The 26882-nt window shown below is 37.6% G+C and overlaps 1 protein-coding gene across 9 annotated transcripts in view; it reads left to right on the top strand.

The window, feature by feature from the left end:
• The window catches only part of CHM (CHM Rab escort protein), a 186379-nt gene continuing 162294 nt past the window's right edge, over positions 2798-26882 (top strand). For 3 of the 9 annotated variants that reach the window (NM_000390.4, XM_017029242.3, NM_001145414.4), the window contains exons 1-2: positions 2798-2872; positions 22799-22865. In NM_000390.4, the coding sequence (NP_000381.1) occupies positions 2824-2872; positions 22799-22865 (116 nt within the window). In that variant the 5' untranslated portion in view covers positions 2798-2823. Of the gene's footprint in view, positions 2873-3027; positions 3246-17481; positions 17566-22798; positions 22866-26882 lie in introns of those variants that run through there. The other 6 variants (NM_001362519.1, NM_001362517.1, XM_047441793.1 and 3 more) reach the window with 5 other exon arrangements.

Genomic DNA, 26882 nt, shown 5'->3' with positions numbered 1-26882 from the left:
GAGGCGGAGCTTGCAGTGAGCGGAGATGGCGCCACTGCACTCCAGCCTGGGCGACAGAGAGAGACTCCGTCTCAAAAAAAAAAAAAAAAAAAAAAAAAGATGTCCTTAGAATAACAGAATAGATGCAATTCAGCTGTTTTGCTTTACGCTTTTTTTACTGCAATTATTAACTCCTATATTCATCTTTACTTTGCATAAAGTCTACAAAAATACATTTGAAATAAAAGGTATTTGGAGCATTTTCTCCATGCACAAGATTGAAATTTTCCTAATGTAGTAATCTTTTCCATGCCCAGAAAAGGGCATGAATAAGTCCCATAATAACTTTAGAGAAAGAACAGCAAAATATAAGTTGGTAATATTATCCTTCTGAGGATTGTGCTTTCTATCCTTAGGGGAAAAAAAGAAGGTTTCAAACTAAGGGCAGCACAGATTGGAAAATCTATGCTACAGAGTAATTACTTGTTTATTTTGTTTTACCCTACTAAATGTAAACTTCATGAAGACAGGGGTTGTTGTCTGTTTTGTTCATTGCTCTAATCTCAGCATCCAAAATAGTGTCTTGCACATAGTAGGTGCTGAATGAATATTTGAGGAATAAACAAATTAATGAATTGCATCTTCATGGTGTGATTGTCAGAAAATTTCTGAATCCCTAGAAGGTCAGTGATACTCATATTGAAAAGTATATGTATGTAGTTTATATATCTCGTATACATGAACAAATGTATATAAATATATATCCAAAGTATGGTAGAAATACTTTTATTTATCAGGTTTTTAACCATCCATCTGTGGCTTCTCATTATTAGAGAAGATTTTGGAAAGTTTTCTGTGTTTACTCTGAGAAATCCATTTGTTTCCATTTTCTACTGTCTTATCAAGAGTCTCACAAATAATATCTGTTTCACTTCTGATAATACTAAAAACTTGCTTTACATACCAAGGCAAATGACAAAGTGGTTTACTGAACAGTACATTATACTTCTCAGGGGAATCTGTTTTACAGAAAATACTAATCAAAGACCATATCTTAAGAGAGTTGTGTAATACAACTGGATGATCTATAAAAGAAAGTAATGAAACATGTACAATGTTGCTAATGATTATGGTAAAATGCAAGAGAAATGCAGTAAAAAGCGTATCAAAATACATTTTAAAGCATTTTCATGTAAATATTTACAATTAATGGACACTGAACATCTTCTAAATATAAGACACATGATAGTGGTGGGCAGATATAAAGGCAAAGATGGTAAGCACTATGAGGACAGGGACTCGTCTCATCCATCTATTAGGGGAGTCAAAATCAAGTTTGGTTTAGCAAACATTTATTAAATTCCTACTATGCACCGGGCTTAGGTTAGGTGCAGGAGTGAAAAAGATAAATGAGACTTGGTGTCTGTCATGCTGTACAGGGGTTTATAATTATGGTATTGCATGTCTGGGTGTGTATTTTTGTGTGGATATATGGGGATATGTGTACTCTATAGGAATCGTCATAAATGCAGTATGGCGGGTTAAGACAAAGTCTAGCACCATGTAGGGAAACAGCCCACACACGGAGACGAAAGGAGGAGGAGGTGGAAGCCCAGCGACATCCTGGGAATAACTGTTAGCTAGAGAATGGGAAGATCATTCCATGCTGAAAGAACAGCATGAGCGTGGTCAGAGACTGGAAAGAAAACAATGTCTGGGGAACCACAAGCATCTTAGCGGATAGGTGGTGTCAGGGAAGGCCCACTACTGCACATTATCTTTGATTTATTTTGAAACTCTTGTAAAATAACTACACAAGAAATTTCTGTCGTCAAAAAAGTATCCTCCTTCATTCCCAGCATCCTTCCCCTTTTGCTTTGGTGTTGTCAGACAGCGGAGTATTAAATAATCGGGGGCAGGGTGGGGGGCGGTTGGAGGGAAGCGGTGGGAGGCGACAGACCTTGAAGATACTTATGAGAGCTATGTTAGCTGTTAGACATAGACGACCTAAAGCCCCTCATCAGATACAATCACTTTAATATAAAGACCATTTTACCTTAATTATTTCTACGGTAGCTTATGGAAACTAATAGATTGGAAACTAAATGTAAACTAAGGAGAATCTTACATGAACTTATCTAGTTGGTGCGGAAAATCGAATTCAGACTCAACAGACGCTTATCCAGCGCAACCATGCTTTCATATATTTTTTCCCTCCTGTAAAGCAAGGCTAATTTATTGCCCGAGTGGCTGTCTGGACTAACTGGAACAAATACGGACGCGGTGGGAGTTCCATTCTGGCGAAACTAGGGTGAGAGGTTTTTTGTGGGTTTTCATCGAGGAGACATGGAAACGAAAAAGATATGGAATATATTCTGAAAGTATTGGTGTGAAAAACCATGCCTCGAGGGCCAACACGAAAGTACAGAAACGATGGCGGGAAACAGTTTTTTAGGCTGGAATGAAAGTCTCCTTTGTTCACAGAGCAAACCGCCTTCAATTTCACTCCGCTCTCCGTGTCTCCTAACAATTTTGCTTCAGTATTGTCAAGGGGTATCCAAGTCTCCCACATTCATCCTAGCTAACGGAATAAAAATCTACATTTCTTTCCTACTTCAACCCTCCAGGCTAAATGAGCTACAGCATTCAGCCTGGAAAATGAGTCGAGCTTTTAACTTACGTGTAAACATTTTAAATATAATACTGTAGTCGCCTGCCTGGACCTTCCACCCAAGAACTACAACACCCAGAATGCACTGTTTTCTTTTCCGCCTTCCACGGAGGGAATGCCTAACTTGATCTCATTTCCACAAGTAATAGTCACATGACACGTTTCCCGTCAAGATGGCGGATACTCTCCCTTCGGAGTTTGATGTGATCGTAATAGGGACGGGTATGTGTAGCCTGGTGCTTCCTGGACAAAGTTTAGGAAGACTGTCTTGTTTCTGTTTTTTCTGTCAGTGGCGAGTTTTGGGACAAACATCGTGGGTCGAGAGTGGGAGGGAGAACTGAAAGGAAGTGAGGTAGTCCGGAGTCAGCGCGGGAGTTGGCAGTTACAGGGAGGGGCTGGGACCCGCAGTGCTTATCGCCATTTGAGTAGGGGTTGATCTGGTCGATGCTGATTGCTGAGGTTGGTTGCTGCGGTGATTCCTGTTAATTTCCTTAGAGGGAAGTGGATGTGCAGTGTCATGAAATGGAGGGTCGGGATTTTATCAACGGAGACGACTTTGGCAAGACATTATGATTCCTTCCTTATTGATTTCAAGGTGATATTCCCCATCATTTTGTCTCGCCATTTCATAGGACTTTTTCATAGATTTGTATGATCTTAGCATACATCGCAGCTCAGACACAGCTTAATCCTCAGTTTTACAAGAAAGATGCTCAATTATTGCCCATGTGCGTATGAATTTACTAGGGAAAGTAAACGGATTCTATTTTGTTGAGAAACCTAGGGAATTTTATTTTGTTGAGGTAGCCATTATTCCTGCTTTATGGTGCTTAAAGCATCTTGCTTTCTACCATCAATAACTAAATGTGCTGAGAATAAGGTCCTGAGTTCCAGTTCAGGTGTGTGACCTTATCTAACTCTTGTTTTCCCGTCGTTTGTTCTTCATGTTTTGGGTGGAACCAGAAACTCCTCTGCAGTTTCTAGTTGACATATTCAGTGTACAACACGTAGCAGAACACATATGGCAGCAATTTCAATTTTTTTTAATAGTGTAAGGGATGATCATTTTAGATGGAATGAAATAGGTTGTTTGATGGGGTTTTTTACTGTTTGTAGAATGTGGTAGGCCAGAGAAGCTCTGGTGGATGGGACCCTGTCCATTGTGTTAATGAATTCAGTTCGTTGTCTTCTCATACAGCCATGATTAGGAGCAGCCATGTTTTCAGGTTGGGAGTAAAAATAATAGCTACCTGTTTTCGAATGCTTAAAATTTCCTAATCACTGTGCTAAGCACTTTACAAGCCGAACATAATCCTCACAACCTTGTTAGAGTAGTAGGTACTCTCTGCATTTTGTAGAAGAGGAAAAGGGGACTTGGAAAAGTTGTAATTTGCTCAGGATCACACAGCTGGTAAATTTCCAAAGGCCCATTCCATCCCAGGAAAACAGTCAGTGGTTCTGATCCTCAGAGTTGACCCATATTCGTAGAAACAATTGAGAAAACTTGGTTTTAGGTCTTGCTTAGTGCTAGTATGAATTGCTTGAATTGGGAGGGCCAGGCACTAAATCTCTCTGAGCCTCAGTTTCCTTGTTTTTGAATATAAGGAAGGTAAAATAGATGGTCTTTATGTTGTCTAACAAAAAATGCCTGGGTAACAGTTCTCAGAACAGCATGGACAGGTTTATTCTTAGCCTGAAAATAACTGCATGGCTGCAAATAACCTGGTTGTAGCTGCTATGAACAGATGTTGGATGAGAGCTGGAAAGAGCCAATGGACTATTCATTTTTTCTTTTAAGTCTATACTAAAACTGAGAACAGCATCCATTTTGGAATAGTTGTTATACCATACTTGAGTTTTATAATCTTGCTTTTTTTGTGTAGGAACTTGAGGTGTTTTTAACAATTTTTTTAATCAACAATTTTTTTTTTCAGGTCTGGGTTCAAATTTTAATTGATGAATGTTAATTCTTATGAATGATGCTAATGTTTTTCATAAATATTTTGCCTTCTGTACAGTTCAGAATTGGAAGACATCCATCCTGATGGAGTCTGTTATGGTAGAGGTAGGAAGTTACAGTGAGTGAGCCAGAGAATTGCATCAGGTGACATCGCTTATATTTGGAAAAATACTCATTTTATACTTATCCCAGTGAGTGCAATGTTATTTTTCAGTGTTTGGGAAGAACTTATTTGAAGTTAATCTTAAAACTTAAATTTTTCATATTGTTTATTGGTGACACATTCTAGGTTTTATCAAGCACATTGCTTAAATTTATGATATGTAATTTTGCTTTTAGGTACATCAAAAGTGTAAAAATTGAATAAAAGAGTCATTCCCCAAATAAATGATTCCAACAATTCCAATCATGATTTAATTTGATTTATTTTTTAGTGTGCTTGGGATATTTCTCTTGTGAAATAGTTTGCTGAAAGTAGCCTTTAAAATGTTTGCTTTATTAAATGTATTACATTGAGCAAATCATAGAAAAAGCAGTGTTTCATAGATTCAGTTGTATTAATAAAAGTAGAAGCAATAATGCATGCATCAGAAACATGAAGAAATAGGCTATTAGATATACTTTTTAGCAGATTTAGTCCTAGTTAAAATGTCATAAAGGAACAATTGCTTCATCAAGTATAATCATGGAAGATAATATTTTATAATCCCTTTCACCTTGATTAACTTGCATTATCATTTTCTGTAATGCAAGATGGAAATTGTTCCTTAAGATCATATTTTCGAGAGATTATGGAAAAAAATAAACTTTGTATTTTCTTAGTTAAGCCCATTTCCTTCTGATTAGAAAATACAGTAAATATCTCTTGAACATCCAAAGACAGAAGAGTAAGCTAAAGTGGAATTGCGGAAAAAATAGAAGAAAATGGAATAAAGAAGGAGGGCCAACTGGAGTCTCAAGGGAGAGGATAAAAATAGATATATGTGGTAAGGGTCTAGAAGGTGCTCTTCAGCTTGGGTACAGAATTGTCATTTTCAGGGTATTTTGCCATTTAAAAAGTCATTTAAATGACAGTTTTGTGGATTATAGACAAGTACCATTGGTTGAACGTTAAAAGTCGTCCCAGTAACATTACATCTCACTGGAGGTGACTTATCTGGAAGCCTGTGTAATCTGCAGCACAGCAGAGCCAAGAACTCAACAGAAGAGCAGTCAAGATGGAAGTTATAAGATCTATATGATAATATTGACATGCTTCATACATAGGGGAATCCCTGAGATCATCACTTAGAACATATTCATCCTCATTTTAAAAATAATTCTAGCAAGCTCAGCATATTAGAACCACCCCCTTAGAAGATACAAGGAATGTTATCAACTTCTGCAAAGACTATGTTTGGTGGGGTTGCTATTAGACATACAAATGACAGTTTGTATAGGAAAGGGAAGAGAAAAACACCTAAAATGCAAACTTACATCAAACATCACAAAGGCCTGATAACATTTAGTGTAGTGACAAATACTCATTTTTCAGGTCATTCAACCCACATTTACTGAGAACCTAGTCCCTTCCCTTGTGAAGTTTACTGTATTGCCTATTCTCAGGAACGTTCTGGCCTTCCTAACAGTCATATCCCCAAAGCTGTTCTTAAGACAATGTAGGCTTTTCATTGCATCCTTCTTTCTTTTTGAAGACCATGTAGACATTCAGCCTGCATTTTTTCTTTTTAAAAGCACACTGCTCACATCTTTTGGAGTTCTTCCCCTAAGATGGGCTGCAGAGTAGGTTAGCTTAATTTTTCTACTGCATAGGATAAACACATATATTCTTTTGATTTAAGAGTTTTATTGTTAGCCAAGCATGGTGGCACGGGCCTGTAATCCCCATTACTCTATAGGCTAAGGCACAGGCATCCCTTGATCCTGGAAGGCGGAGGTTGCAGTGAGCTTAGATGGCACCACTGCACTCTAGTCAGAGAAACAGAGTGAGACTGTCTCAAAAAAAAAAAAAAGTTTCATTGGCCAGGTGCAGTGGCTCAGGCCTGTAATCCCAGCACTTGGGGAAGCCGAGGCAGGTGGATTGCTTGAGCTCAGGAGTTTGAAACCTCAGCCTCCCAAGTAGCTGAAATGGGTGACACAGCAAAACTGTATTTCTACAAAAAAAATACAAAAATTAATTGGGTATGGTGACACGTGCCTGTAGTCCCAGCTACTTGGAAGGCTGAGGTGGGAGGATTGCCTGAAACTGGGAGTTTGAGGCTGCAGTGAGCTATAGTTGTGTCACTGCACTTCAGCCTGGGCAACAGAGCAAGACCCTATCTCAAAAAAAAAAAAAAGTTTTATTGCTAAAGATTATGGGGAAAGAGAAGGGATAGCAAAGATAAACATGGAAATTATAAGGAGTACTGCCCCTAAATCCTGATTATCTTGCTAGATAGTGTTTAGCACCATACAGTAGTAGATGTGGCAGCATGGTGTATGATAATCACATGACCATCCTATTGTGTGATTTTGGGAAAATTACAGAATTTCTTGTGACATCATTTAGTTCATCTGTAAAGTGAGAAATTTCAATAGATGATCTCCAAGGTAGGGATCTACCAGCCCTAAAATTACCATTGTATATATCTATTTATGACACCATGTCCTTGAGAAAAGGCTAAATTCTGTTCTGTGTAGTCTTTTTAAGAAGGAAAGTCAGTGTTTCATATACTTCAGAAATTTTCCTATAAAAATGGCTGATAGGGTTTAGATATTTGTCCTGCCCAAATCTCATGTTGAAATGTTATCCTCGTTGTCGGAGGTGGGGCCTGATGGGATGTGTTTGGGTCATGGGAGTGGATCCCTCATGGCTTGGTACTCTTCTTGTAATAGTGAATTCGTTCTTGCAGGATCTGGTGGTTTATTTTTTAATTTTTTTTTTGAGACAGGGTCTTGCTCTGTCACCCTAGTTGGAGTGCAGTGGCACAATCATGGCCCACTGCAGCCTTAACCTCCTGGGCCCAAGCAATCCTCCCACCTCAGACTCCTGAGTAGCTGAGATTACAGACATGCATCACCATGCCTGGCTAATTTTTTTTTTTTTATTTTTGTAGAGATGGGGTCTGCCTATGTTGCCCAGGCTGGTTTTGCACTTCTGAACTCAAGCAATCTACCTGCCTTGGTGGCCCAAATTGCTGGGATTACAGATGGGAGCCACTGTGCCTGGTCGACTGGTTGTTTAAAAGTGTGTGGCATCTCCCCACACTTGCTTGCCTTGCCTCTCACCAAGGGAGATGCCTGCTTCCCCTTTGCCTTCTGCTATGACTAAAAGCTCCCTCAGGCCTCCCTAGAAGCCGAGCAGATGCCTGTACCATGCTTGTACAGCCTGCAGAACCCTGAGCCAATTAAACCTCTTTTCTTTATAAATTACCCAGTTTCAGGCATTCCTTTATGGCAACACAGGAACAGCCTAATACAGTGACTGATTAGAAAAGGCATTTTCTTAAAAATGATAGGCTGCTTTTTTCAGAAAAGGTCACTTAAGTAGCCTTTCCTTGATGTTGGGATGTTCCAGTCCCATTCCTTGATGTTGGTGAATTTAAACATTAAGGTAGTTAACCTTGACTGGCAGCTCATTGACTTATGATGATGTTGGAATAGCATCACTTCTGTAAGCCTTGGGGGATAGTAATATTGCAGGAGGAGTTGTGAAAACTGATATTTACCAAATATCTGTTTGTGCCAGCCTTAACACAAGTGATTTCCTATATTTCTAACTTAATCTTCTCCCAGGATGCCTGAATGTGGTTCTCACATCACAGGATGTCCATAGTCCTCCCTGTGTACTTCCAAAATCTTCACATCTATTGTCTACAGTGGATTTTTAAAAATTGTAAGATGCCACCTATTAGTGGATCATGGAGTGAATTCCAGCATTATAAAAATGAGGTAGAATATATCAGAATGCATGTAGTAAGGATGAATGTTGTTTTTTATATATATATGTATATATATATATATATATATATATATATATACACACACACCATATATATAACATATATATATATATACATAAACACACATACACACATATGTTTTTGGGGAGGGCAGGTTCAAAAAATTTAAAGCATAGAGTATATTGATCAGCTGAATGACATAGTGAGTAGGAGTGAAATGGTATTTCAAAAGTCCTTTCTTTGTTGTCTTCTCTTTTGTTCACCAGCTTGCATTATTTATCATTTGTTTTCCTCATAGTTTTTGGAACAGATTTAGTATCGGTCTTATTTGAGGTATAGTATGAAACACTCCGTTGTCAGCGTAAGAGATGCTATAGGAGTGAAAGATAGCCTGCAGATTTTGCTGTTCTGAAAAATGCTTTGCACTTCTTCAGGCATTTATTGATGGAAAAGTATGTTTTTGTTTGCTTCCAATACCTAGAAAAGTAAAGAGTTATCTAACTCTGGAGAAGACTCTCTGGGAGATGCTTACCCTTCTCTGTAAATCATGAATTTGAGCCAATACCTCAGAGAGAGCCACATCTGTTGCCATAATTTCCTCTGCAGCATCATTTTCATCTCCCATGCCTCATGTCATTTTTCTCATTTTCTCCAGTGTTTTCATGATGTTTTGGATAACAGGCTACAGTAATTAAATTCAAATATGGCAGCCCACCATTACATTCTCATGTTTAACATAAAATCCCAATGCACAGAAACAATTATAATTCCATATAATTGACCTGTTAACTCATGCTAAATCATCTGCTATTCAGTCTCAGTGCATTCTTTAACTAAAAAGTTAGTCTGTGCCTGTTCTGTATATAAATATATTTAAAAGTAAAATAGGCTAAAAATCACTGTTGGTGCTCATTGGAAACATTTTGGGGGCGTTTAGTTGTGGCCAGCAAAATAGGGATACATTGAAAGGTTGATGTTTTGTTTTTGCTTTTCTAATAATTTCATTTAAGGTTTGGTGTAAAAAGAGTTGATAATTTATCACAGATACTGCTTTTTTAGAGCATGATTATGAGAGCTAGCATGTTATCATATTGAGGGTGTTTTTGAAAAGAACAGTTTGCAAACAGACAGGAGAAGAGACCAGAGGCAGCTTGGCCAGTATGGTGCTTAAATAAGTGTTTCATCTCATACTGGATTTTATCAGGAGCTGAAGTTGGTAATGTATTCCTTGACTGATTTGGTTTTTATCACATTTTAAAAAGTACTGGTGAAGCAGGATATTTTCCTGACCCCTTCATGGGACTTGTGAAGGGAGCACCCTGTTTACTCAGCCCACCGCTTTCAACTCCTCATAGGAGGGAGCACGTGAGTGAACAAGGCAGGAACTGGAATACATGAGTGCTGGAGTCAGCCTGCCGCTCTTGTGCCAGGAGGAATGAACTCCACTCACTCGGACCTGCTGTGTTTCACCCCTCACAAGAGGGGATGTGCAGTTGAGTGGGTGCAGGAGCCGGGGCGAGTGCTTTTGGGCACTGGCAGGAGTCAACTCTGTGCTGGCCCTGTGGTAGCATCTCCGGGGGTGGTGCCTGCAACCCCTGAAGCTCCAGAGGGAATGTTACAGTGCTCTTTTAGCTCTGCTGTCCGCAGACGGCTTAAGGGTTAACAGCTCAGTGGGCCCTCTGCCTTTTTGTGTTAATCGGCTGCCTTCTACCAGTGAGGGCAAAGGGCAAGTGTGACAGCCTTTTTGTGTCCACACTCATCGTTCCCGAGCTCTTGTCCGGCATCCAGGAGAAATGAGGTCACATGAATGAATTGAAGGATGGTAAATGTAGGGGATCTTATTGCTGATGGAGATGGCTCTTAGTGGGAAGGGGAGCTGCAAAGGGCAGGAAGGTAGTCTTCCCCTGAATGCCAGCTGTCTCTGGCCAGATTCTTCTTCGAAGTTACGCTGTCAAGGTGTCCCTCTGAAGTCGAGCCACTTCTCTCTGATGTCCAGCTGTAGTCTCTAATGTCCAACTGCTTCTCTTCTCTCTGCTGGCTGAGCCTGGGGTTTTTATGTACACAGGATGGGGTGTGGGGTGGGCCGTAAGTGGTTTCGGAAAAGGCAACATTCGCACGGGAAAATGGGGATATAAGTTCTCACTTTGCGTCATGGTTTCAGGCTTGAGGGTGGGGTTTTCTCAGGGACCTGCCCTTTTCTGCCTAGAATTTCCCTGCCTCCTGTCCCTGTCACTCACTAACTTCTACTCTTTCTTTTGAGTATTCTCACCTGTCTTTTTTTTTTTTTTTTTTTTGGTCTAGGCCAGTGTTCTCATTGAGTTATTATGGCTACTAGTTAATGGTGGTTTTAATCATTTTATATTGCTTTGAAATGTTTTGAATCATGTTTCTGTGATCTGACTTTGCACATTTGTTAAACTAGTCTTATTTATGTGGATTTAAAATCATCATGAGAAAATTTACACAAGCTAAAGTATAGAGAAAAAGTTTTACACATGGATATGAGGCATATTAAGAAGATGCTGAGCTGTGAGTTCAAATCCTTATTTTCTACACCTGTGTTACTTTGGTTTAAGCTATGTAAGCAAAATCAATGATAATTAGAAAATTGTTTTTAGTACCTACAACACACTGTCAAACACATGAAAAATATTGTCTAACATTTGTTATATGCCAAGCACGGTGATAAGCCCCTACAATGCATTGTCTCATTTTCACAGTAACCCTGCAGTAGATACTATATCATCTCCATTTTTCAAATGTGAAGCCTGAGGCTCAGCTAAGTTTGATGTAGGTGAAACAGTTAAGACGAAAGTTTTTCTGACTAAGGTTGAGGTATTAGATTAAGTTTGCTAGAATCTTTCAATTGAAAAAATAGCTCATAGTATCAAGATGAGATTATTTTAACCTGGGTTTGTGGTTGGCAGTTGTTTTATTTTGGAGAGTTATCATTGTTGACATTAAAATCCTGATTCCAGCAGTAACCTCATGATGTCAGCTTCTTATTATTGACAGCATCATGACATCTGTGTCAGCTTGCAAACCTTCTTTTGATGAAGGTGAACGGAATGACCTGGTTGTGTTTATCCCTTAAAACTGAAGAGAGAATCAACCACTAAAGCAATGGCCAGAAATGGGATCAGAGATTACAGTTACATTTTAAGAAATGATTTGCTTCAGTAGGAATTCTTCATTGATCCTGTAAACCAAAATAATTTAGATTACCAAATTAATTTAGAAAGTTTATTTTACCAAGGTTAAGGATGCACCTGTGGCACAGCCTCAGGTCCTGATGACGTGCCCCAGGCGGTAGGGGCACAGCTTGATTTTACATGTTTTAGGGAGACATGAAACATTAATCAACGTTTGTAAGATGTATAATTCATTGGTTCCATCAGGAAAGGCCAGACAACTCGAAGTGGGGAGGAGGCTTCTGGGTCATAGTTAGTTAAGAGACAAATGAGGAATAGTCACTTATGCCTTAGTCTGTAGTGAAACAGTAGGGCGGAGGAAGCCATCAGATACGCATTTGTCTCATGGGAACAGAGGAATGACTTTGAGTTCTGCCTGTCCTTTGGTTGTCCACAAGGAATTTCCTTATGGGCAAATTGTGAGGGAGGTATGTAGCTTTTTAAAAATCTTTGTAGTGATCTTATTTAGGAATAGAAAGGGAGAGAGGTTTGCCCAACACAATTCCCAACTTGACTTTTCCTTTTGGTTTAGTGATTTTGGGGAGATTTGTTTTCCTTTCACAATCCCAAGGTACATAATTTCCCACTGAAATACTTGTGCATGTGCTGGGGTTTGCCATTTTGTGTCTTTTTTAGTGTTCTTCCAAATTAAATTTTCAAGATCAAATATGGGACTCATTGTCCTGTTTATGGAGCTTTTTTTCTTTTGGTTGACTATTCTTTTGTTTCCTACAGTCTTCAACAACTGTTAGTGCTTACAATGGATACATCATGCATCTTAATTGATAGGATGGATATGATAATACCTTTTTTGGTCCAAGGTCCCGCTCATTAAAAAAAATAGTTTATAAAGCTGAAAAGTTTTTATTTCTATTTTTTGTAAAATGATTTTCATGATAGGATTTTATATAAAGGGGAAGGGTTTTTTGTATCATTTTTATAACATTTTTGAAATGAATACTTATTCTCTTTCATCATCTATTTTAGACTCACAGTTTTATGAGTAATGCAGTAAAGGTCATGTGGCACATTAGTAAAATATGTTCTGAACACAGAAACTATTCTCCTTATCACAAATTAAATTTTATGTTAAGTTTGAAGAGCACTGGCCTGGGGTATACTTTGCTGTGAAAAGATCATTTTGGTCACTTAAATTACAATAGAAATATTTGTGTTAAGAAAATTAAGTAAAAATTAGGCTGGGCACAGTGGCTCACACCTGTAATTCCAGGACTTTGGGAGGCCTAGGCAAGTGGATCACCTGAGGTCAGGAGTTCAAGACCAGCCCAACCAACACAGTGAAACCCTGTCTGTACTAAAAATACAAAAATTATCCAGGCGTAGTGGCAGGAGCCTGTAATCCCAGCTCCTTGGGAAGCTGAGGCAGGAGAATCGCTTGAACCCGGGAGGCGGAGGTTGCAGTGAGCCGAGACTGTGCCACTGTACCCCAGCCTGGGTGACAAGAGTGAAACTCTGTCTCAAAAAAAAAAAAAAAAAAAAAAAGGAAAAATTAGTTGTAGTGGAGATTATTTCCTGGCAAGGATAAGGTCTTCAGCAAACATTTATATTTATTTAACAAAACTTCAAGAGATTTTGAGTTGATGTAGTTTTCTCCATTTAGATAAAAAACAGGATGCTACGTCCATTTTTAAGCTTTTTACAATGGAAAATTTCAAACATAAAAAAGTAGAATAAAGTAACCCTCCACATACCAGACTCCCAGTTTCAACAGTTATCAACTCATGGCCAGTCTTGTTTTCTCTGTAATGAGGACTAAGCTCTGATTTTTTATCTTGCCCAAATTCCTACCTAAGGGGTCTAGGGAGTCATGCCCTACAAACCATAAATTCTCATCAGATGGGTTTTATTTGACCCTATATATTGTGACTTATTTTTCAGTCTGACTCTGGCATTAACATTATGAGACAAGGAAAAGATATTTAGCCCCAAAATATATTTCCTTGCCATACCTTGAAATTGCCCTGCAAAGTCTCTTGTGGGAAAAATCCACATTCTATAGAGAATACCCTCCCCCCTTTATTTTGCTTCCTTTCTTTCCAGATCCAGGAGGTAATCAACTAAGAGCCAGGCACCCTTTTAGGTCCAATAGGAAACATTTTACAACCTGCTCTGTCTCTGAGGTCTGCTACCTGAAAGATTCCTCTGCACAATAAAATTTGGTCCCCACAATCCTTTATTTTAACCTGAACTTTCCTTTCCATTAATCTCAGGTCTTGAGATAAACTCAACAAATTGTCAGCCAGAAAATGTTTAAATTTACCTATAGCCTGGAAGCACTTCCCCCCCCACCAGCTTTGAGTTGTCTCGCCTTTCTGAACCAAACCAATGTATTTCTTAAATGTATTTGATTGATGTCTCATGCCTCCCTAAAATATATAAAACCAAGCTGTACCCCAACCACCTTGGGCACATGTTCTCAGGACCTCCTGAGGGCTGTGTCACGGGCTGTGGTCACTTATATTTGGCTCAGAATAAATCTCTTCAAATATTTTACAGAGTTGGCTGGGCATGGTGTCTCACGCCTGTAATCTCAGCACTTTGGGAGGCCGAGGCGGGCGGATCATGAGGTTAGGAGATCCAGGCCATCCTGGTTAACACGGTGAAACCCCGTCTTTACTAAAAATACAAAAAATTAGCCGGGCATGGTGGCGGATACCTGTAGTCCCAGCTTCTTGGGAGGCTGAGGCAGAAGAATGGCGTGAACCCGGGAGGCGGAGGTTGCAGTGAGCCGAGATCGCGCTACTGCACTCCAGCCTGGGCAACAGAGCGAGGCTCCATCTCAAAAAAAAAAAAAAAAAAAAAAAATGAACTCTTTTCGTCGACAGTATCTTCCACTGTTTCTCTCATTTCACCATCCAACCCTGTTATTTTGAAGCAAATCCTAAATATCGTATCATTCTATCTGTATATATTCCAACATATATCAAAAAGTGTAGGGCTCTCCTTTTTAAACATAACTACTGTTTTGTTTAACATGTGCTTAACACTTACATCACGTGCCCTCCTTTGTATCTTCAGTTTTTTCTAAGGCATCTATCCATTTTGTTTCTTTGGTCTTGTGCTCTTCCTAGTTTAGTTTTCTTATCTGAAATGATTTTTTCTTTAATTTTTTAACTCCATTTTTTCAAAATGTTCCTGTTCTCTAATCACCTTACTTTTGAGTTTTTCTAATTTTGATTCATGTTGTTCTCTCAGAGCTGCCACCATTTTGTTAATTTCTTTTAGCACATAATACCATAATTAGCTACGTTTTTCATCTAATTTGTGAGGTTGACATTCTTTTATTGTCTATTGGGATATTATTTTGTTCCTTATTCCCTTTTTTCCAATGTACATTGAATGTGATTCAACTGAAATCCTTTTGCGTTGCTCATTTTTAAGTGAAAAATGTTTTCCTTTTGTTTTCAATAGGAAGGAGGGGCCAGTAAAACTATTCGAACTGTTTTGCTGTAGACCTCTCTTCTTTGTTTTCAGGAGGTAATCAAACATGTAGCCTGAAATCTGCTGGCTCTGTTACCCTCCCCTAGTTTTGTCTAGACCTTCTCTTTCCTTTGCCTCTATTTTCCCTGCTGAATTTGGATTAGGTTCCCAGCAGTTACTCCTCAGTGTGGGACTATCCCCTCATTCACAAGGTGAAGTCTGCAAAACCCCTTCCCAGTTTCTGCTGCTGTTCTCAGAATGGTCTGCCAAGCTTCCAGTGAGTGCCTGATAGCACTTTTGGGGTTTTCTGGCTCTCAGGGCTGTAACAGTTTTTTTGATCTTCTCTTCATTTCCTTTTGCACACTTTCTTTTTTTTTGTTTTGTTTTGTTTTGAGACAAAGTCTTGCTTTTGTCGCCCAGGCTGGAGTGCAATGGCGTGATCTCGGCTCACTACAACCTCTGCCTGCCAGGTTCAAGCGATCCTCCTGCCTCAGCCTCCCGAGTACCTGGGATTACAGGCGCCTGCCACCATGCCTGGCTATTTTTGTATTTTTAGTAGAGACAGGGTTTCACTATGTTGGCCAGGCTAGTCTCGAACTTCTGACCTCAGGTGATCTGCCCACCTCAGCCTCCCAAAGTGCTGGGATTACAGGTGTGAGCCACCACACCCAGCCTGCACACTTTCTAATACCATGTGGGTGTTACAGCTATTGGTGGCTTGTAACTACCCATTTCTATTTTGGGGTTCATGATGATATTGTATCACCTTGCTTTGTTATGGATGTTGTCCCTGGGAGTTTGGTTTGGGTATCCTGATTGTACTGTCTGTTTTTATGGGAGTTATGGGGGAGATTCAACAACTGCTGCCATCTTTACAGAAGCCTCTTTTTATCTTTCACTTTATCATTTGCTCAAGAATAGAGGTCAAGTTGTTGACCTAGCATAAACATTCACTTTTCAGAACTTGAAACAAACCTTTGGGTCACTTATTCCAAGCCCTTTATTTTATCTAATAAGGATATCTATAAGGAATCTGAATTCCAGAGGTTAAGTGACTTTCGTGAGGTCACAGCTATTTAGTATCCACCTAAAAACAGGAAGCCAGTCCTTCTGATTCTTAATTCAGTACTCTTGAATACTGAAACTCTTTTTATTAGCCATCCCTAAAGGCTCACACCATAGTGAATTTTTAAAAATTAAAATAAATTTTCCAAGTTAATGTTTTAATGGGTAGTATATTTTTCAAAAAATTCTAAAAATTACATGGCTATAAATACACATTTTGTTCCACGAGGAAGAAGTTCAGAGATTTTAAATTACATTTACTAATATTTAGTATTTTGTGGGGAGGTTAGAGTGAATAAAAATAATTGTCAATTTAAAAATGATATTTTTATCTTTATGTTGTGGTAGTTCCCTAGGCTACTTCATTTGCAATTTTTCCCTTTTTATGGTAGCCACTAAAAAGTAGACTTAAGATGTAAATATTTATTATAGAATTTAAGATAGGAATCAACAAAACTACTTAAACCTGGGTTGAAATTCAGTTTCTGCTTAATTTTGTGATGTCATTATTTTGAGTGGCTGCATGAATTAAGTATGTAGTTTCACCTTTGCATTCATTGCTCAATCAAGTTTTCCTTGCCAGCAATTCTGTTTTTCCTAAAAAAGAACTTACTCTTTATTAAAGCAGTCACAGTAAATTTTCTAGTTCTATGTAATTTTCTTTCCATTCTGGTCTTCACTGGTTATAAATAACACATGGAATGACTTTCAAGGTAGAAAGCAGAAATCCATTTTGAAATGTTCTATAAAATAAAGAGTGATTTATGGTTTCATATGATTTGAGCTGAAAGTACTTGGGCTTTGCCAGGTCATCAAAGTCCTGTCAGGGGAATCTATTATTTATTGTTCGATATGCTGGGAGTGGTGTAAGTACTTTATTTTATGTTTATCTCGTGTAAGCATAGTGTTAGGAAAAATCAATCCCAGATACTAATACATTTTAAGAATATATCATGGGGAACTAACCTAAATGTTATAGTTGTAAATGATGAGATTTGACATTAAGAATTTGGATTAAAGGGGGATTTTGAAAAATGAATAGATAATGGTTTTATCTCTGTAAAATATCTTAGGTGAGGTTCTTGGGTCCTGATTTTAGCCTAGCTCCTTCATTTGATAATGAAACATCTCTATTTCATCTAGACAGGTTTTTAGAAAATTGCAGAAAGCTGGTACCATACATATTAGTGTATGATGATATAACATTCCATAAGCTTCTAATTTTTTTTCTAGCTGCCACCTTTGTAACAGAACCTCAACTGTGAAAGTCATGATGGAGGAAACCTCAGTTTCCCCCACTACAACTGTTATGAAATGGTAACTTAATACCTAATATTTACCTGTGTTTAATAAAAATGACTTGCCAAAGTTGTTGTCTTGCATCAGAATTACACATGCTTGCTTATAATACTGTGGCAGAGCAAGTTGTTTGGTACAACCTCTCTAATGAATGTAATAATTATATTCAATAATGTGAAATGTTTAAATGATATTAAATGTTTGATGAACCTCTATAGTTTACATAAAGAAAAGGTTATTGGACTTTTTAAAAAATGATTTTAAGTTGCTAGATCTTTGAGGGTAACTTAAGTAAATAGTAAGCAAGTGATGCCTTTTTTTTTTCCTTCAAATAACTAATCTTATTGAAGGGGAAAGGAAGAGGAGGGAAGAGAAGCAACATTTACTGAATGCCAGTGACATGCCAACAGCCACTGTGTATAGTGTTTGATACCGTTTTGTACCTGTTCTCCCTGCACCCATATGAGATGTATTATTAACCTCATCTTACAGTTGAAAACGTTGTACTTGTATATTTGTGCTCACACATTTTACAGAGTGTTTCCAGTGGAATGCTGTAGGATTTGACCCTCATCTAGGTTATCTGTTTCTAACTCATGTCGGGCTTTTCTTTGTGGGAGAGACTGTATAGTTCAAAATAAGCACGTACATGTTTCATCTAAATGCCTCACAAATATATTGTGTGAACTTGAGTAGTAGTTCACTTTTTTAAGCATTGAATTTGAACAGGTGTTATTTTGAAATTAATCAAGAGTTTAAGTGCCATTAAAATTGAGCTTAGAAATATTAATTTAAACAAAACAGTCATTATTTTACTAAATTAGCAATAAGACCAAAAACTTTTAAGTATGCACTTAGAAATATTAATTTAAACAAAACAAGCAGTCATTTTATTATTTTACCAAATTAGCAATAAGACCAAAAAGTTTTAAGTATGTTAACTTTTCCTAAATAAATTTTTTTTTTTTGAGACGGAGTTTTTCTCTTGTTGCCCAGGCTGGAGTGCAATGGTGCGATCTTGGCTCACCGCAACCTTTGCCTTCCGGGTTCAAGCGATTCTCCTGCCTCAGCCTCCCGAGTAGCTGGGATTATGGGCATGCGCCACCGCGCCTGGCTAATTTTGCATTTTTAGTAGAGATGGGGTTTCTACATGTTGGTCAGGCTGGTCTCGAACTCCCGACCTCAGGTGATCTGCCCACCTCGGCCTCCCAAAGTGCTGGGATTACAGGTGTGAGCCACCGTGCCCAGCGCTAAATAATTTTTAAAAACCATGAAGCATAAAGCTCCAGTTTTATACAAGTTTATCCTCCTTGCTTTGACTACAGTTTTTATTTTTATTTTTTGAAACCCTGATTTGACCATGATCTGGCTAAAGTCCTTTCAAGACTCCCTATTCCTCAGAGGCTCAAGTTCAGATACTATAATTTGGCTTCAACCTCTTGGAAATTTTTTTAAATTTTGTTTTATGTTGGTAAGAAGACTTGACATGAGATCCCTGCTCTTAACAAATTTTTAAGTGTGCAATACAGTGTTGTTTACTATAGGTACAATGATGTAGAGCAGCTCTTTAGAAATTATTCTTCTTTCATAACTGATACTTCATGCTAGTTGATTAGCAACTCCCCATTTCCCTCTCCCCCAAACCCATGGCAACCACCATTCCACTTTTTGATTCTGTGAATTTGCCTATTTTTAAATACCTCATATAGGTGGAATCATGTGGCATTTGTCCTTCTGTCACTGGCTTTATGTTTGTTGCAGCAGTGTTCACAATGGGTAACATGTGAAAACAACCTAAATGTCCATCAACAGAAGAATGGATAGAGAAATGTGATATATCCATATAAGGGAATATTACGTGGTTATTAAAAAAAAAAGTAATGAAGTACTGATCCATGCTGCAACATGGATAACCCTTGAAAACTTTATGCTAAGTGAAGTAGGCCAGTCCAAACACTTTTTTTAAAGGATCACTTTTTGGTTCTCCCTTCCTTTAACTTTGCCAGGAATGCTCCTTTCCACTTTCCTTTTTCCGTCTTCTGCACTCCTCAGTTAGGGTTGTTAGAGACCCTGAAAGACCCAGCTAATTTCTCCTGTTCTTTGGAGCTTTCCATGACTCCCTCTACAGAGGGAGTGTTTCTTTCCATTGTGTTTCTATCACAGTTTTAAATACACTTATTATTTTAATCTCTTTAAATTCTTGTTACATAGACTCTGAGCTCTAACAGGCTAGGGATTATCTTGCAAAAAACGTATGGCAACCTCTCACTACCTAGCACAGTTTGTTCTCTCTCTCCCTTCCTCTCCCCTTTCCCCATTTTCTTTTTCTTTTCTTCAGCAAATATCTATGGAGAACCTACTACATGCCTCCTGTATCCTGGAAATTCTGTTTATTGAATGGGTGGGAAGAAATATGAAATCTTGGCCAAGAAGACATTGTTAACTGTATTATTAGTTTGCTATTTTAGTCATTCTAAGCATGAAGATAATAGGCCCTTGCCATTTAACATTAGAACAGCTTATGAATTTCACAAACTTATGGGAATGTTTGGATGGAAGTATTAAGGAAAAACACAAATGATAGTCATTTTGGCTTTATGTAATTTGGACTCAAATCATGTTCAGTATTGAAATCCATTCTTGGCTTTGCTTTAATAGCAGAGATTTGACTTCTGACATTGTTGATCACAGCCATGGAAATAACCACGTGTATAACTGCCTACCCTAAGTAAGAGTTATTTTTGGGCCAAATGGAGGCGAGTAATTTTATTATTGTTCACCATTGGAGCTGGCATCTGGTGAAAATAGGTTTATGTTTGGGGTAGTGTTAGATGGAAATAATGCTTCTAAAATATCATTCTGAAGGATAATAAGAGTAGATAGTGTTCATAGGGCAAGTACCCTTGCTAACAACAGAACTGAATTCTGTGAGGTAGATCATGATATTCTCATTGATAGATGAGGAAACAAAGGCTCAGAGAAGTCAAGTGACTTATCTGAGGTTGTGCAGCTAGGTGAGTAGCAAAACCAAGATTCAAGTCTAAGTCTGTCTGATTGAGACCATGCCTGTTTCATTTTGTTGCTGTATTGTCCTTGAATCTTCATTTTCAAACTTGCATCCAAGTTGGAGATAGTGAATTATCATGGTAATTTGAATTGGGGATATGGAATTACCAAATTACTTGGTATTTGGCAAGTTATTTAACCTTTCTTAACCTATTTCCTCACATAGATAATACTGCCTGCCTCCTAGGATTATAATGAGGAATAAATAAGATGATGTATGTGAAAATACAGTTTGGAGGATAAAACCCTATACTAATATTTGGTGGCATTGTTATTAATGCTGTGATTATTACACATAAGAGCATTAATCTTTAACTACTAATTCTGCTTCCTGAGTATTTCTTTGCCATTATCCTTTTAACTAAGCTGCTTATCAGCTTTTAAAGTACCATAATGACTGCATTTCACTAAAAAGGAACATTATTTCTTTAAGTGTAGCAAAAAGTTCAGATGGTCTTTTGATTTCAATAAGGGTTTTAACTTAAAAACTGCATTTAGCTATTTAAAACTTTCTCCTATTTCCCTCTACTCCAGAAATTCTTATTTTGTTTACTTGAATTATATCTAAAGTTAAGCTTGGAACTTTATGATGGCTTGTTTTCGATGATTGATATTTAATGGTTATTTTCAGTACATTTGTTAGAACTTCTTTTGTTTTGAACCAAGCATTATATTCCCACAAAATGTTCAACACTGGAAAACTAGTTCCTCTGTGAAGGCAGGCTGGAGCTTGTGTTTAATATGGATTTTAGCTAGAGATTGACTGTATCAATTGTTTCCATATGCATATTGCTTTTTATATACAGAAGATGACTTTCCCCTTTCCTGAAATCCTTGATGCTTAGTGTGTAGTTTAAACCCTTGCCAAAAGACTGGTGCTGTTTTTTTTTCCACTAAGTAAAAACACGAGAGGATCAGGATGTTTCATCATGGTGAAGGAGTTCGTAGTAGCACTATAGAATTGCACTAAACTTTTAAAGCATGCTTTATTTTTATAACTAATATAAAAAATACTAGCTTCTATCAACATGGTAGATCATATGACAAAAATTTTTGAAGAGTCTGGAACTTACAGGGTATTAACTATCAAATAGAAAACTTGAATTTTTAAAATCATAAAACATCATTATCTTTGGCAATTTTTAATTTTTGGTTGGTGCTGGTAGAAATAATATATATATGTCTTTTTATGATAATCAGCTTTATGGTATGATTAAGTTTGATTCTAAAGCATAAATGTTTTGTTTTTATACTGCTATATTGGTCAAAAGCAAAATAATGTATCTTGTAAGCAGCCCCTTTCTAAACTAGCTGACATATTTCTTAAGCTAAAAAGTGTGTGCCATTCCCCCTCAGAGGCATTGTGGCTTCGGAGTTATATCTGGGTTTAAATTTCAACTCTAGAACTTTTTTTTGTTTGTTCTAAGCATTGGGCAGAAAGTTAAGATATTCATGTCCTGGTTCTTTTTCTTCTTCTCTAAAATGCATATGCATATGGTTATCTCTCAGTGCAATTGGGAGACTCAGATGAGCTAGTGTGTGAACATGGTTTTTAACTGAACAATATATAGTAGTTACAGTTGCTCATTGATGGTAATTTACATACAAAAAGATTGTAAGTACTTTTAAAAATTATTTTTTCTTGCCAAATTAAGCAGAACTGCTTTTTAAAAAATATATCTGGCCGGGCACAGTGGCTCACGCCTATAATCTCAGCACTTTGGGAGGCCGAGGTGGGCGGATCACAAGGTCAGGACATTGAGACCATCCTGGCCAACATGGTGAAACCCTGTCTCTACTAAAAATACAAAAATTAGCTGGGTGTGCGGCGCATGCCTGTAATCCCAGCTACTCGGGAGGCTGAGGCAGGAGAATCATTTGAACCAGGGAGTCGGAGGTTGCAGTGAGCCGAGATCGCGCCACTGTACTCCAGCTGGTGACAGAGTGAGACTCCGTCTCAAAAAAAAAAAATGTCTTCCACATAATAAAATTTTCAGTATGAGTGGTATATGTTTAAGAAACATCTTACAGTATAATTAATATAAACTTTATAATTCTGAATACAAGCAAGGATGGGTCTCTTTGGTGGTTAAACTGTTCTATACAGCAATGGCATGTATTGAACATTTTATGTAAAATATATATATTTCTACATTCTAAATGATACGGGTGTGTGTTTTTGTAGGTTTGCCTGAATCCATCATTGCAGCTGCATGTTCAAGAAGTGGCCGGAGAGTTCTGCATGTTGATTCGTAAGTTTATCAACGATAGCATTTAATATTTCCTAAATATCTCTATACAGGATTAAAATTTACATAAACACATATATGTCTGTACGTATGTACATGTATGTGTATATCATACATAAACTTAAGTTAGAAGAAAGATCGGAGTTGTTTAATTTTAACCACTAATATGTGAAATATATAGCATACAAGTTTTACTATTTTGTGAAATAGTGATCTTTGAGAATAAACCAAATGCATCATTTTATTTTTCTCATGAGTGATTTTGTTTAAAATAACAAGTAATTCTCCAAGAGGCTTGGAAACCTCATGCCTGCCCCTTTTCCTACATATGTGTGTGGGTATATACAACCTATATATGCTATTGTATTTTAGGCTTCATATTTGATGGTTGTAAAAGTCAGCCAATAGATTTTGAGCATTATTTTCTTAAACTTCATCAAAATTTAAACTTAGGAAGTCTTAACTAGGAAAAATATCTACAATTATGTTTTTCCCTTTTTTTCTTAAATGTGATGATAAGCAGGAGGTTGATGGAAAACTCAAGTTTAAGATAAAGCATAGGTTAAATCTCTCCATTTCTATATCCGCCCAAAACAAACCCCTAATCTCCCACCTATTAAGTGCTTTTGACTGTTAGATCTTGGCACTTTAATTCTTCATTGAATAGGAATAGAAAGAAGAAACACACTTTTTATTTTCTGTTAGATATTAACTACAGTGTTTTTCAGAATGCTACAATATAAAAAAAATTAGATTTGTCATAGCTTATAGTGTCTTCCCATATGTTATCTCATTGTAAATATGTAGGAATCCAAAAAGTAACATGAGTTAATCTTCTTTTAACCTGTTCTAAATTCATTTTGAAAGCATATTCTGTTATAATAGCTAAGATTTGGGAGCAACTGGATGAAATTTCTAAATTGGATTCAGTTTTCATACACGTCCTGCCTTTGTAATTTGCTTTTACTATTTCACTATTGTATGCACGACTGCTTGTGTTAATCTCTCAATTCAGTCTTTTTGACATATCATGGGTTTACATGTTAGAAAATCTGCTGCCTTGGGCCAGGTGTGGTGGCTCATGCCTGTAACCCAGCACTTTGGGAGGCTGAGGTGGGCGGATCACTTGAGGTCAGGAAGTCAGAAGTTTGAGACCAGCCTGGCCAACATGATGAAACTCCATCTCTACTAAAAATACAAAACTTAGCTGGGCGTGGTGGTGCATGCTTGTAATCCCAGCTTCTTGGGAGGCTGAGGCAGGAGAATTGCTTGAACTTGGTCCGGTGGTGGAGGTTGCAGTAAGCCGAGATTGCACTACTGCACTACAACCTGGGTGACAGAGAAAGACAGTCTCAAAAAAAAAAAAAAAAAAAAAAAAAAAAAAAAAAAAAGAAAATCTGCTACCTTGAAAGCCCAGGTACTGAGACAGTATACTTTAAAATATTAATTCAGATATGTTTTTCATGACCTTATTTAACCTAAAATTAAAAGTAAAATTCTTGCTTCTCATTTCTCAAAGGTAGAATGATAGTAAAAGTTATTGTTTGTTGAGCTTGCACTACGTGCTAGTCAACATATTAGTTTCTTTACACATGTTATGTAACTTAATTCTCATCACAGCCAAGTAAGGTAGGTGGTGTTATCCCAATTTGACAAATGGGGAATGTGGGACATAGAGACATTAAGTAATTTTTCGAAATTTACCTTCCTAACATGTATAATTTTAGTTTCAGATTTACTTTGTGTGTAGGTATGTGTTTTTTTTTTCTTTTTCTTTTCCTTTTTCTTTTTCTTTCTTTCTTTCTTTTTTTTTTTTTGACACAGGATCTCACTCTGTTGCCTAGACTATAGTACAGTGGCATGGTAATAGCTCACTGTAACCTCAAACTCCTGGGCTCAAGTTATCCTCCTGCCTCAGCCTCCTGGGTAACTAGGACTACAGGTGCATGCCGTTGCACCCAGCTAACTTTGAACATTTTCTTTAGAGATGGAATCTCGCTATGCTACCCAGGCTGGTCTTGAACTCTTGGCCTCAAACGATCCTCCCAAAATGCTGGGATTACAGGCATGAACTACCGTACCTGGCCTATTTTGTGTTTTCTTATTCCAGAACATGAGGTCTTCCCAGAATGAAGACTATTTTACAAATCAAATTGGGTTTACTCATATTCCAAAAATAAAGTTTGATTAAAAATATAAGAACCTAGGTCTTACTTTGACAAGCAGTGAATCAATTAGAAAAGCTTGATAATATGGTTGTCTTAAGACATTATAGTATAATAAAAATGGCATTTCAAAGTGACGAAACTTTTCTTCTTCTCTTGTACATCCTCAGACTTGGTGGCTTTTGAAAGTTTAGATACATCTAGGTATTGATTCTCCCACATCTTAAGCTTAGATTTGGGGCTTCTTTGGCACCATTATCTGAGGGTAGTGGTTGTCTGCATACTGATGATATCTCCTGATCTGAATCTGTTCTGAGCCCCAGTTTCATATAGCCTATCATCTGATATCTTCATCTAGATGTTCCACAGGCACCTTAACATGGCTAATATTAAGCCATGAATTCATCCTCCCCATTCTCACCTCAAAATGTACAGAACCCAAAAAACAGCATCCTGCTCCCAGTCTTTTGGAATGATAACACCGTCTACCCAGTTTCTCAACTTAACGAAACTTGTATACTTCTGTTGATTTTCTTGCTTTATCCTCCAGATTTATTCAGATGATTTTGATAATAATAGAACACATTTATTGATCTCTTCTAGGTACTATGATACATACTTTGAAAACATAATTTCACTTATATCCCCTAACTTTAATAGCTCTCCATATCTCTTTTTCTTTATGCCACTGTCATTTCCCTAGTTCAAACCTTTGTCATTTCTCAACTGAATGAGCTCATAACCTCCTGACTTTATCTCCAGCTCTCTAGTTTATTTATCACACTGCCACCAGTCACATCACTCTGCTGCATGAAATCCTTCAGTGTTTCTCTGCTGCCTATGTTAGTGATTTTCCAAGTTTAAAAGAAAGACTTAGTGAGGGAACCGAAACAACTTGAAAAGATGAAAGCAGAGCTGCTGTGGTTGAAATGAGTGGGTCTGGGTCAGTGTAGATATAACTGGATTTTAGGAGAAAGTCCAAATTTTCTGTATGTCATACAGTGCCATCTATGATGTGGCCTTGCTTAAAACACCTTCAGCCTCATCTCTTGCCACTTCAATCTTTAGGTGTAGACACCAGCAATGCTGAAATTTGCAGTAGCTGAACATATTGTAGTCTTTACTTCATCTTCCCACTTTTTGTCTGGGATTTACATAAGGTATCCCCTCAGCCTGGATTGCCTGTCTCTACCCCTCAGCCTGGCTAACTTCTATTTGTCTTTCAATGTTTAGCTTACATACCACCTCCTCAGGGAAGTCCCACTTCCTTAAACCCCACTGGCTATGTGTCACAACTATGCCCAGGTTTTTGTAATACTGTATAAGAGTGCCATGGCATTTATCATACTCTTAATCATTCACTTCCCTGTCTTCCCCACTACCCTTTAAGCCCTTACATCATAGGTCTTATTCATCTTTGTATCTCCAGCACCTAGCACAGTTGCTGGTATACATTAGATATTTGATGGGTGGATAAGTACTAATACATATTTGTGTGTATGATTTTTTTTTTTGTTAATGGTTAGTTTGGTGTTGTATAATCTTTATGTCACACACATTTTGGATAAATAGCCGTTGTTAGAGATGTAATCTGTGGCTAAAAATTAAAGTATGCAGTCAGTAACCTTGACTTTTAGTGTCATCAAGTTTTTAAACTATCACCATTCATTTTTATTGAGAATCTTTGTGCAAGGAATTGTGCTAGATGTTAAGAATGCAAAGATAAATAAAAATACACTGACTCACAATCTAGTAAGGGAAGTAAAGAAATAGACACACATGCTATGCTATTTGATGGAGGTATATATAAGGTGCTATAGGGGGACAACTAACTCAGTGAGAGGGCTTCCCATAG

The sequence above is a fragment of the Homo sapiens genome, chromosome X, assembly GCF_000001405.40.
Source record: "Homo sapiens chromosome X, GRCh38.p14 Primary Assembly".
In the NCBI taxonomy this organism is placed as follows: Eukaryota; Metazoa; Chordata; class Mammalia; order Primates; family Hominidae; genus Homo; species Homo sapiens.
The sequence above is the reverse complement of the archived record's forward strand: the minus strand, read 5'-3'. Positions and strand labels throughout refer to the sequence as shown.